At 38.2% G+C, this 13,067-nt stretch overlaps 1 protein-coding gene across 41 annotated transcripts in view; it reads left to right on the top strand.

The window, feature by feature from the left end:
- ESRRG (estrogen related receptor gamma) overlaps positions 1–13,067 on the top strand; it is a 634,457-nt gene that overhangs the window by 306,210 nt on the left and 315,180 nt on the right. Inside the window, exon 5 of one of the 41 annotated variants that reach the window (XM_047449397.1) lies at positions 3,028–3,140. The exons of the other annotated variants lie outside the window; for them this stretch is intronic. The gene's annotated coding sequence lies outside the window, so the exon portion shown is untranslated. The remainder of the gene's footprint in view (positions 1–3,027; positions 3,141–13,067) is intronic. 41 annotated transcript variants of the gene reach the window in all.

Genomic DNA, 13,067 nt, shown 5'->3' with positions numbered 1-13,067 from the left:
CTTTCCTCCCCCCGTTGAATGAGAGGCTGAAAAACCTTTGTTTTCCCTTGTTTTCCTCAGAGCTCTGTCTCCTCAGGCTTCATTTGGTAAAAGCGAGTTTAGATGAGATAATTTTAGTTCTTTGTGTGAAGCTATTTTTAAATGTAATTTTTGCTAATAATGCAATTAGTTGTGGTTTTTGCATAATTTGCAATAAGGTGATGAAGTTTAAGAAGCTTCATTTTATTTTAATTAACAGTTGATCGGTGCTAATAACCAAGCCTCTGCTAACAACACCAGCTTTAACTCTTAAAAAATATGCACCAGACACGTAACTCCTCCTCCTCCTTCCCCTCCCCCCTTTGAAATATTTAATAAGAATGCCATGTATAAAATTACCCTGTTGGAGAGAACAGGAGCTGCATCCCAATATAGATCACAGTGGAAAATCACTCAAACATTGTGTGATGCGTTTCCTCCCCCAACCTCCCCACCTTGCCCCTTTCCTTCCTCTCCTCCCCCTGCTCTTTTCCAATTGTCTGTCTCATAGTTCAGTTGTAGGAGGTGAGAGCACGCCCAGGCTTGGGGGTATTATGACATTTCAGTTTACTGTTCTTAACAATTCCTTTGCACATTCCATTAGCACATTATTTATAGCCTCATAAAAGCATCCCTTTTTTTTTCCTTCTAACATTATCCCTGTATCTCCGATGATAATGCTATCTGAGGATCGAACAGTTATTTTTTAAAAATCTATTCCCTAAGTTGACTCCTCATTGGCTCCCGCTATCCAGCCTCCCCTCCTGTCACACTTAAAAGTCTGCCCACAAATCCTCTCAAGAGACATGGCTCAAATCTAGCGGGTGAAAAAAGTCTGAGTGAGGCTTGGAGCCAAGATCCTGCATCTTACAACCTGCAGTTTCTGAGGCTTCCGAGAGCCCTGAACTCCAGATGCTTGTATAAACAAGACTTCCTAGAAGTCATTACCTCATAACTCCTCATAAGCTTACACCTGACAAGCCTCTCAAAGCGAGAGGGCTGTGTTTTCCCTAATAAATTCCTTTTTGAACCCACTTGTTAGTCAAGCGTTGTGCACACTAACTACAGAAAGGACCCTGTGCCTTGGGCATAAATTATTCTTCTGTGCCACTGTTTCTGAGCACCCCCCAGTTATGGATTACTTCGTTCTCGACTTGACAGGAACATAATTAGAACTGTTGATGAAATCTACCAAATTGTTCCTCCGTGGCCTCAGTGGTCAGGAAATTTGGCTGAGTCGTATTTGTCACCGATGTGGAGGCTCTAAACACTTCATATTAACTACGTTATTAATGTGCCCTCTAATCTGCCCATGAATTGGTAACACTTGAAGTGAGCCTGGCCCTAATGGCACCTTGCAATGAATGCATTGTAGGCCCGCATTAAAAGTTTCAGCAGGGAGAGGATGTTAATAAAATTCCTGTGTGTGTGCATGTGTGTGTGTCTGTGCTGTCAACGCCTTGATGCTTCCATTTAGAAACATGATATTGCTTAGGCCTTTGCTGATACCAGTTTGTGCATTGTCAAGTTGGCTGGTATTTTAGCCACTGCTTTGTTCCATGAATCCCCCTCCTGAGGTGAGAAGGCAGTGAGGTAGGGTGGTTAAGAACGTGGCATTTCAGGCCGGGCGCGGTGGCTCACACCTGTAATCCCAGCACTTTGGGAGGCCGAGGAGGGTGGATCATTCGAGGTCAGGAGTTTGAGACCAGCCTGGCCAACATGGTGAAACCCCATCTCTACTGAAGATACAAAAATTAGGTGGGCATGGTGGCAGGCGCCCATAATCCCAGCTACCTAGGGGCTGAGGCAGGAGAATCACTTGAACCCAGGAGGCGGAGGTTGGAGTGAGCCAAGATGGCGCCACTGCATTCCAGCCTGGGCAACAGAGTGAGACTCCATCTCAAAAAAGAAAAAAAAAAAAAAAACTGTGGCATTTGGAGTGAGGCAGGTCTGGGTTGAAGTCCTAGCTTTTGCCCTTACTATCTACAGGTTTCTTAAACATGCTAACTTTGTTATGCCTCATTTTTTCCATCAGTAAAATGAGAATAATAGTATCTAACTTATAGGGTAGTTGTAAGGAACTAAATGGAGACACCTCTGAAAGAATCTTGCACAGTATCTGGTCGGTAACCAGTGAATGGCCCTTTCGTGTTGATGGTGATGGGGGTTAACAATTGCCTCACCCCTCTTGTCCTCAAAGATTTCTTGCTGTAAATGTGTGTATGTTCATACACACACTCCAGGTGTGTCAGGAGCTCTGGTGCTCTTCAGGTAACAGTTATAGTACTGGAGAAAGAATAAACTTCACAGGTTAGCAAAACAAAGGGGCTGTTGGCTGTAAATTGATTTTCACAGCCATTCTATCAATACGATTCATATTTACTGAGATAGCTTAATCTTCTAAAATACAGGAATAAAAGAAATGTCACTTAAAGACATACATATGTCCTTGTATCCTAGTGTTTTTCATATCTTTAATAAGGACTTGAGACCCTTCTCTGTGTAATGCTGCACATAATAAGATATCCCTAACCATGGGGCATTGAGACATGAGTGGGTTGACAAATGCTCACTGAAATGTGCACCATGATCAATTATTATAAATACCACACAGACTAGGATGATAAGTTAATAAAAGAGAACGGGTAAAAGATGAACCACTAGCAGAGGACATATGGGTTCTAGCATCAATGAGAACACAGCAACAAAGTTATTGGTCACTGAAATATAGCCTTTGGTTTCATCTGTTAACTAGGCATGAAAAATTAAAAACCTAACATTTTATGACAAGTTGTTCTTTGGGGGTTTATTCCCTGTGCCCGAGTTTTCTACTTGTAGAAAATACAAATGCCAGTACTTGTAGAGACAACAAATAATCTCTAAAATATTAAGGTAAAGATCATGGCGAAGGTGTGTATTCTGGTCACATGATTTTGATCTTCCTTGTTTTAAATATTTATAAAACTCTTACTATTGTTATGTGCTTTTAATAAGAGCCCTCTGATACAGGAGCTGTTGGCATCTCCACCAGGCAGATGTGGTAACATATGAAACCTGGTCTCCTTCCATCTCTGTGAAGGAAGCGCTTTGCAAAAAACCCAACTAACCAACCAAACGAACAGGTAAATAAATCCATGCATTAAGGTACTTTCAGGGTTTTAAACCCAAACCAACCAAACAAAAACACAGCTTGTTTTCAATCCTTAAATTTGCAGAATATATATACAAATTTTGCTCAATAAATTACTGTTAAGTGTCACAGGAATCCATTTCCATAATAGCTAGGAGGACTACGAAGATCCCAGGCTCTCCTCTCTCTGGGAAATTGCTCCCAGGTGCAAGCTCTGGTTCTTTCTTGAGCTTGAGAGAAATGTTCAATCCTTGATAGTTTCAACCAGGAAAGAGTTAGTTTTAAGCAGAGAATAATGAACAATGAAATGGTAGGAAATGATTTGTGTAGGCACACTACTGAGAGGTAGAGATGCAAAGAAAATTCAGAAGTTCACAATTTTTCTTGTATGTGAGTACCAGTTTCCAGCCTATGAAATTCTGCTCCTCTTTCAAAACCCTAATTCAAATGCTACCTTATACATTAAGTCTTTCTTGATTCAGATTCTATTTGGAAATAAGCTTACTCTTCCCCAATTTCCCTTCCCATTTAACTTGTATTGTGGTTATTTACATGGTTCTATTAGGTCCTACGTGACTGTGAGTGACTAGCTTTTATTTGCCCTTCATTTTATCCATACATCCTACTTGATACTGTATGCACCATTGCATACCCTTTCTTTCATTTGTACATTTGACCAATTCGTGAGATAGAATACGTATACAAACTGTCAATTTAAGAGGTCAAATGAATTACATGAAATAAGTTTTATATTTATGAAGAGGGAAAAATTATGGATAGCTAGAGAATTTTAAAGAACTTCACTTGCATACGAAGACATAGGTCATAATTATTCCTGTTTTATAGATGATGAAATGGGGAGGCTGAATTACTCCAGGTCATGTAGTTAGTGAGGGATAGAGCTAGGATTTATCTCAGCATTCCCTGCAGTTATTGTCAGATGCTAGAAATCAGAAGACAAACCAGAGCAATGAATAAATACAGTGTAACTATGGATCACATTTGAATATATTTTAAAAACCAGGACAGAATAAGGTGAGTGTCTTAATACAATAAGGGAGAACATTTTACAGACTTCTTTTTCACTAAAATCAGATCAGTATATCACTGTTATTTTTAAACTAATTCTTTTAGTAACAATATAATGCATATCTACTGTAAAATATTTTAAGAATAAAAAACCTGGAGAAGAAAATGAAAATCACTCATTATTCCATTACATACAGAAAGCCACTGTTAACATTAAGTATAAATAATTTTTTCAGGCTTTTTCTATGATCATAATCTGTAGATCTGAACTGTATTTTTCTTTTGGTCTTGAAGCAATCAATGCTTCTGTATCAATGTCTGTGATGGACAGCAGGGATCACCCCCCTGCTCATATAGTTGGGAAAGAGAGATGAGCTTAAAGGGCCCTCATGAAAATTGTAGATACTGAAGGTCACTTCACGTGATCAACTGATTATTGCAGAGCTTACCAAGCCCTTCTATAACCAAAGTGTGTAAAACTGTGAAGGAGCAATTTCAGATTCCTTTCTGAACCAAAGTCCAGAGTAATACTAACGTCATTCTAGCTAAAGACTCTGGGATCAAATCTGAAAATGGAATTTGTGTAGTATGGCCTAAAATTAAGACAAAGACTTTTGGACTCAGAAAGATTCAATTCCTTACCCCTCACTTTCCTTATCTGAAAAATAGAGTCAATGATATTCACCTCCAAGGCTTATTAGTATAGGGATGAAATTAAACCAGGAAATGTTTTATAAATTGAGAAATATTTATAAGAACAATTTCTCATTATATTCAATAATATTGTAATAATCTAATAATGGTATTCTAACAATAGCATTATTGTCAGTAACCTCTGCTTATCACCTATCTTGACTTCTGAGTTGGGTTGTAAACTGTGCTGATAATGGCTGGTGAGCCCAGATCATGCAGCTAACACTCAAAGCTCAAGGTCAGTAGGTGTACCAGCTCTCATTATTCTACACTGTACGTTTGATCCTGATACTACATTTCATCATACCATTTATTTACCGGTTCAGATAAATATATTATATTAGATTGTAACTTTATCTAATGTGCATTGACATACTGATTGCATGCCGTCCGTATGTCCCTATGGGTGTGTGTGTGTGTTTTTTTTTTTTTTTGTCCTTAAACAATTTGCTTGGTTCATAGTGACTTGAGCACTTTATCATTAGAACTTAGTTTAAATTCAAAGTAACTCTACCTGCCTGTCCGTTACATCTTTGAAGATGAGAATTTTAGATAAACTTTGCTGCTCCTCTAGTTTTGTTAGCAAAGAAAATACAAGCAACTTGAGTGGGAGTTTGTACTCCCAACTTGATGCTACAAAGTCAACATTGATTGACCCGTCAACTCAGACAATACGTGGACTTCATTGGTTGGGAGGTTTTTGCCACTGAAGAACTAATAGATTTAGTTTAAATCTGGATAAATCAGAATGGGAAGCCCATCTGCCTGCAACTATGTATCTTTCAGTAGTGCTGGGCTGAAGATTCCCTGTCATTACATTTCCAGAAGGACCTTGTTAGGATGCTAATGCTAAGGAATCATGTGACCTCCAGCTCTTCTCAGACTAGAATGCTTTGTAGAGCATAAGCAATCTCAACTGGTTCATAGCCCAAGGCTGCCCAGCTTACCACTACATACACTTCTAGCATCCATAGGAATCAAACTTATTTGTCTTGTGCATTTATTAACTTATTTCTCTTTCCCATTCGTCTTCCATTTAAGTTATATTAATTTAAATATAACTTAGAACTCACTACCTCAGATTTTCTGGCTGTGCCTTCCTTCTCTCAGCCTCTGAATTGTTGCTAAAAAAAAATTCAAAGGGCTGATTTCTTTTACGATGATATATTGCATTTGCAAACCTCCTTATCTTTGCCTGCTTTATCCCAGCGGACACTTACAACAACCCAATTTGCCTATTACTGTATCCACATTGTATTGTTTTCATTAGGACATTTAAGCAATATTCAGCTGTATAACCAATGTGTGATGGAGCTCAGTTCCAAGCACTGTTCTTCTGAGGCTTAGGCCAATGATTTCTCTATTCAAACATTTCCTTAAGGGGCAGGAAGGTTGTGGAAGAAGGACTTGTCTCTGGGCCCAGAAGCTTTCACAATTGACATGTAGAGGTAATGATGCCTGCATTTCCTGCATACTTTGACATGAAGAGGGGAAGAGGGCTCACCATTACTGAAATGATGTTTATGGTGTGGGACTAGAAACTGATGGCAAAGGGAAGCTCTGGTAAAAAACAAGCAGATGGATCAAGTCTTCAAGGACAGGCCTCTGTCACTGTGACACATTCTGTAGACTACAGACCTCCTGATGTAGTGAATTCTCTGTCTCCAAGCAAGACTACATGCAGACAGATAGTGATTATATGTTTTTAAAACATTGTTCTTCACCTAGTAAGGCAAGGCAGGTAGACAGCAAACTCAATGTGGTTCATGGTTCGTTACTTCCCATCTTCATTTCTCAGATAAAAATCTGCGACAAATTTGCCATAATAAGACACTAGTTTGGTAAACTGGCAAGTGCCTTGCAGCATTTCTTGTGAGGAGCATATGCTAATGGATGCTTGTATTTGAAAGGATGACTCACAGTTAATCATTATAAGAAATAGGCTTACCACTTCATAAACTCTAGGAAAGACTGTTTTCTAAACATTTAAATTGCTCAGCCATTTTATGCATTAAAACCCAATTATAACTTAGTATGTTGGAGAATTTCAAAAGCTATTCCCTGCAGGATCTGTGCCTAAGACTACATTTTATCATTCCGTAGTTCACACTCTGTCTAATACAGGCAAAAAAAAAAAAAATTAAAATGACTATTTATTATTATTATTTTTATTTTTTGAGAGGGAGTCTCACTCTGAAGCCCAGGCTGGAGTGAAGTGACACGATCTCCACTCACTACAACCTCCCCCTCCCCTGTTCAAGTGATTTTCCTGCCTTAGCCTTCTGAGTAGCTGAGATTACAGGCACCCACCACCATGCCCGGCTAATGTCTGTATTTTAGTAGAGATGGGGTTTCACCATGTTGGTCAGGCTGGTCTCAAACTCCTGACCTCAAATGATCTGCCTGCCTCGGCCTCTCAAAGTGCTGGGATTACAGGCATGAGCCACCGTGCCCAGCCTAATAAAATAACTTAAAACACAGCAAGACACTTGAAAAGATGTTGGGCGTTGCTCCCTAATGCGGCCCTAGGAAATGTAGGGGAAAGAAAGTCATTTTACAGATTTTCTGGACTTTGCTTCATCATTACTGGTGATTATATCAGAAAAAAAGATAAATAAGAAGAATGCATTGTAGTTGGAACCTGCCCTCAAGTACTGTAGAGCTCAGCCATGTCCATTTTGTGAAGGGTATATACAAAACAGACTTCCCTTTCATTGCAATGAAAGGCAGTCAGTCAGTAGCTAAGGATGTGAATATGGCTTTAATCCTTTCTGCACTATAAGTTATAAAATCATAGGCCAGGAGCCAGTAGAAGTTTTGAAATTTTCCTGAGAAACTATTTTAGTCTAATGCCTTGCATCTTGTAAAGAAAGCTTGCATTCCTATCAGAAATGGGTGGCTCTATTAAGTCTGAAATGAGAAGATAAACAGTTCTGTCGAATTAGAAAACCTGAAAGTTGAGACAAGCTAGAATTCAATGTGTTTGTCAGCCTAGAAAGGAAAATGGAAATAAAGTTAAGTGATTTAAATTTTTAAAAAAGAATGAGTTTTCTCTTGTGTTTTTCCTTTTAGTGCCAAAAGGAAACCCATATCCAAGCAGTAACTAAAGTAAGATTATGAAATTCCAAAGGAAGAATGAAACCCAGCATCTCCACACCACTGCAATACCAATCTCCAAAGAAACACAGATATTTTCTTCCTAAACACAAAGAAAACAAAACAAAGAATCCATTAGTTTCACTTGAGAATATTTTATGCAACCTTATATACAACAGTACTGTGGCCTCTTTCTCTAGCTATCAGTATAAAACAATCAATTGATTTCATCATTGTAAATACATTAAATAGTAAAATAATTATCTATTAGAGTTGAAAGAGGTCTTTGCATCCAGTCTTACTCCCTTCTCTTACAGATTCAAGACTTTGGAGCTTAGGAAGGGTCTGTGACTCATGCAAATTCTTTCAGATATTGGGAATATTGAGATGAAATCCGGCACCGAGATGTTAGTCGAAGGTTCTCATCACAGGATAGCTTTCTGAAATACCTTTCAGTTTGGGAGGAAATAGGAGAGCTGGAAGGCTAAGCTACAAGTCGAAGACATTCTTTCCCTTTTCTAATTGGGTAAACTCATCTTCAATCTCAACAATAAAAATTAAAAAAGAAAACAAAGCAAAACTATTAGATGGGAGCATTGTTTTTGGAACCTTGTCTAAAATTAGTACAGTGTCTTCTATGTGGAATCTAAATGAAGATAAGCATCTGGGTTGTATGGCTTCCTTATCAATCTGTAAGATTGTATTAAGGTTCCAAATAATACTGAGATTTGCTAAGTAAAGTCCTACTTGTCAATAGCTTCTCTTGTTGGATATTTAAAGTTCAAGAGCTTTGTTTGCTTTAGTTAAGTGCTCTGAAGTGTTTCAACAGCTATTGGCCCATTTATATAAACAAATGAAGGAACCTGAGACTCAGGAGTAGCAGAAATCCTTGATGACTTAAAGATAAGCCTTCCACACACCTGCCTAATTCACTTTGTTACATAACAACAGGTGTGTGCCAATGGATTTGCCTTGGAGAGGAGGACTGGGAAACATATTTACCACTTTAAGGCCATGATTCCTTCTTTAAATTTATTGATTTGTGAGCATTTTTGTTAAGAAGTACAATGACAACCTTGATGCCATTATTTGTTTTCAAGAGATAAATTTTCTTTGGTTGTTGGTCATCTCTTTTACAGTTGAGACAGTTTTAGTTTTTCAGCTGGGTTTGGTAATTGATTTCCTCCAACTGTTAGCTATTTTGTATAGATTATTATCTATTCAGACTTTAATTAGAGAGTATCGGTATTTATTTCTTAATGAAATCGCATTTTGCAACAGTGACTTTTAGAACAGCTACTTGGACAGAGCTGCATATTTACATGTAGGCTGGGCACAGTACATTTCTATGCAGAGGTTGAAATTCACCATCAAATTATTTCATTTCATACAACTCTAAAAGAAAAATACATCTCCATCTTTATAGAGAAATGTAGAAGGTCCCAATCTGAGATACTGTGATTTATCATGTCAGAGTTACCAAATACTTAAAAGATGAATACGTTTGTGACAAAGATCTAACCCCCCTTCTGCTTGGCCAGGCAATGGAGAGTTACCTAGGGACATCAGAATATGGAGGTCAGCATCCCAAGCTTTGAACCCACGTAGAGCCAGTTTTAAAGCCCAGCTTTTGTATGTGAGTAGTTGTGTGACACTGCACTATAATACTATCCACCAGAAAATAGCACTGTAAGACACAAGTGAGATAGGCATTAGGTTGAATCATAAGGAAATTTCATTTTTAAAATTTTTTAAATGTTCTTATTGTTTTTTAAATTAAATTTTATTTATTTATTTATTTATTTATTTATTTATTTATTTATTTATTTATTTATTTTTCCTGAGGCAGGTTCTTGTTCTGTCGCCCAGGCTGGAGTGCAGTGCTGTTATCATGGCTCATTCCAACCTCAAACTCCTGGGCACAAGCCGTCCTCTCACCTCAGCCTCCTGAGTAGCTGGGACTACGGGAATAGGCCACTACACCCGGCTAATTTATACATTTTTATAGAGACAGGGTCTCACTATGTTGCCAAGGCTGCTCTCAAACTCCTGGGCTAAAGTGATCCTCCCACCTTGGCCCCACAAAGCCCTGGGATTACAGACAGGAGCCACCGTGCTTGGCCTAGGAATTTTTAATATTTAACCATTAAGATCCCCACAAATAAACCCCCACAATTTCAAATGGTTCAGTGGGATGGGTAAAATATTTAGAATATTTCCCAGCAAATAGAAAATCCCACTAAATAGAGACCGCAAAACAGGGAAAGTATGGTCTGGAAGGTGGGAAACTGCACGTCCTAGTGAGGGTAAATGGACACATTTGTCCTGGAAGGAGGGAGCAAGTAAGGTAAGAGCGGTGACAACCGTAGTTACCAATGGCTTCTCTTTCCAACTGTTTATGTCACTTGGCCTAACCCTATGTATTCTTATTAGCTCAGACTTTGTTTTTTTTAAATACATTAACACACATGCAGCTGAATCTATAAAACTAGGTCAGGCTCTGAAAACTTCGTAATGTAGTTTATTCCTGTTCTAGAAATATTTTCAAAAAGTCCAATAAAATATGATCAGTCCACAAAGGCAGGGAAAGCAAAGTTCGTGCAACCATAAAGAGGATAAGTAGACAAGAGAAGGAATGCTTTCATAGGAAAGGGAAGACAAGCCTTCATGAATGGAGTTGGTGTTTGGTATAGAATTTAAAGGTTAGCAAACTTTTACTACTTTCTCTGCCCCATCATATGTGACACCCTTGACCTGTTGTCTACAGTTATAAATAGCAGGTAATTTATTAACCCTAATAAGAACGGGTGGCTAATTGCAAAGCAATGTATTGTTTGTTAGAGGCTTTAGCCAAAGGCTGGATATACTCAGCAAAGAATCTCAGAGCAGCTGAACCACCTGCTGTGGGTTGACACATCTTGGTTCACACAAGAACTTGAGAACACTCCTGAATTTTTGAATGAGTGCCTAGAGTCGAAAGGCTTACTGGCATGGGAATTTGAACTGAAAAAAAAAGATGATATCATGTCGTAGATAAGATCACTGTGTCATGATCAGAATTGAGGAGTTTGCTCTGACATAAGGCAGAGGGAATGTCAAAGACATTATGTTTGATTTTTCCTACAATTTACATAACCCTTTATGAGTTGTTTCTCTTTTCTTCTTGCCATTCATCACTCCATATTTTGAATATTTTTTTCTCAAGCTATTTCATGTCTTTAAAGGGGAATGTAAGAATAAACTTAAAACATTCAATAAAGAATAGAAGGAAGAAAACTGAATTCTCAGTTTATCTCGACTCTGAAATGTATTATGTATTGTGAGTGTTGAATGAAAATGGTGCACATCACTGCTACACAAATGACAAAAGTCTGGAATATGAGAACTTCCTTAAAATTTTTCTTTTTATTTAAAATCTTACCAGGCTATGTTTTTATACTTATTAAATTTGGATGTAGTGAGATCTCTCTCTGTAAAGAAACGCTTATTTTCTCCCCTAAATGGAATGATGAACGCTTCTTCTCTCCTCTGCCATATGCCCCTTTGAAGAGTTACATGTCTCTCTATTACTTGGCAATAATGGGAATTTTTATTTCTACAGTTGTATTGTTTTGGTCTGCTCCATACCCTGTAAACATTTCCATTGTTCTACAAAGCTGTGTACTCTTTTCTGTTAGGGTCAGTGTTTTAGGTGGGAAAACAGGCTGGTTTTCTCCACTTTATTTTCTAAAATGGTGTTACATCCCTCTGCTTAGGATTATTAATATTAACAAACCATGTCCACAACTGGTAGAATTGTCTAATTTGAATAGTGAACTGAAAAACACTGAACATAGCCAAAATAAAACATTTAACTAGCTTCCATCAATTCAATGACAATGACAAAAAAAAAAGTACTAAATACCCACAAAGTACAAAGAACTGTGATCAGTATTGCAGGAGAGAAAATAATGGAAAAAAAGACTCAGCCTTTGCCCTGAAAGGACTTAATCCCGTAAAAGACATGCTTATATGGCAAAGGACCATTCCATGAAGTGAAATGTGATTTGGGCCATAAGAAATTTGCTGTTAACATTAGCACAAAGTAGGGATCAATGCTTTTGGGTGAATGGAAAAGAAAGTCGCTTAAAAAAGGAAGAAGATATACAGAAAACTTTAAAGAATAGGAAGGATTTGAAGTAGTTTTTGTTTTGTTGGTTTTCCTCCTTGTTGTGAGACAATAAAGGGTCATTAATGAAAGAAATAAGCATATGCAAACAAACCGAAAGAACAACAGATGCTGGCGAGTTGTGGTTGTGGAGAAAAAGAAACACTTTTACACTGTTGGTGGGAGTGTAAACCAGTTCAACCATTGTGGAAGACAGTGTGACAATTCCTTAAAGATCTAGAGGCAGAAATACCATTTGACCTAAAGGAATATGAATCATTTTATTATAAAGATATATGTACACGTATGTCCACTGCAGCACTATTCACAATAGCAAAGACATGAAATCAACCCAAATGCTATCAATGATAAACTGAATAAAGAAAATGTGGTATATATACACCATGGAATACTATGCAGCCATAGAAAAGAATGAGATCATGTCCTTTGCCGGGACATGGATAGACCTGGAAGCTGTTATCCTCAGGAAACTAACACAGGAACAGAAAATCAAACACCACATGATCTCACTTATAAGTGGGAGCTGAGTGATGAGAACACATGGACACATCGGGGGAACAACACACACTGGGGGCTGCGGTAGGTGGAAGGGAGGAAGTGAGAGCATCTGGAAGAATAGCTAATAGTTGCTGGGCTTAATACCTGGGTGATGGGATGATCTATGCAGCAAACCACCATGGCACACATTTGTCTATATAACAAACCTGCATATCCTGCACATGTACCCTGGAACTTAAAATGAAAGTTGAAGGAAAAAAAAAAAGAAACCCACAGCAGCCACTGGAAGATAGCTGCTAATTCTTGGCAATGAGGGCATGAGCTAAGAGGATGAGGACCATGCCAGGCATCTTGTTGAACAGGGCATCTGATGACCAGTGTGCCGTTTCTTTTTCCTAGAGTGTCAAGTGCCCTCCAGAAGTGCCCATGCCAAAC

The sequence above is a fragment of the Homo sapiens genome, chromosome 1 (assembly GCF_000001405.40).
Source record: "Homo sapiens chromosome 1, GRCh38.p14 Primary Assembly".
Lineage (NCBI taxonomy): Eukaryota > Metazoa > Chordata > Mammalia > Primates > Hominidae > Homo > Homo sapiens.
The sequence above is the reverse complement of the archived record's forward strand: the minus strand, read 5'-3'. Positions and strand labels throughout refer to the sequence as shown.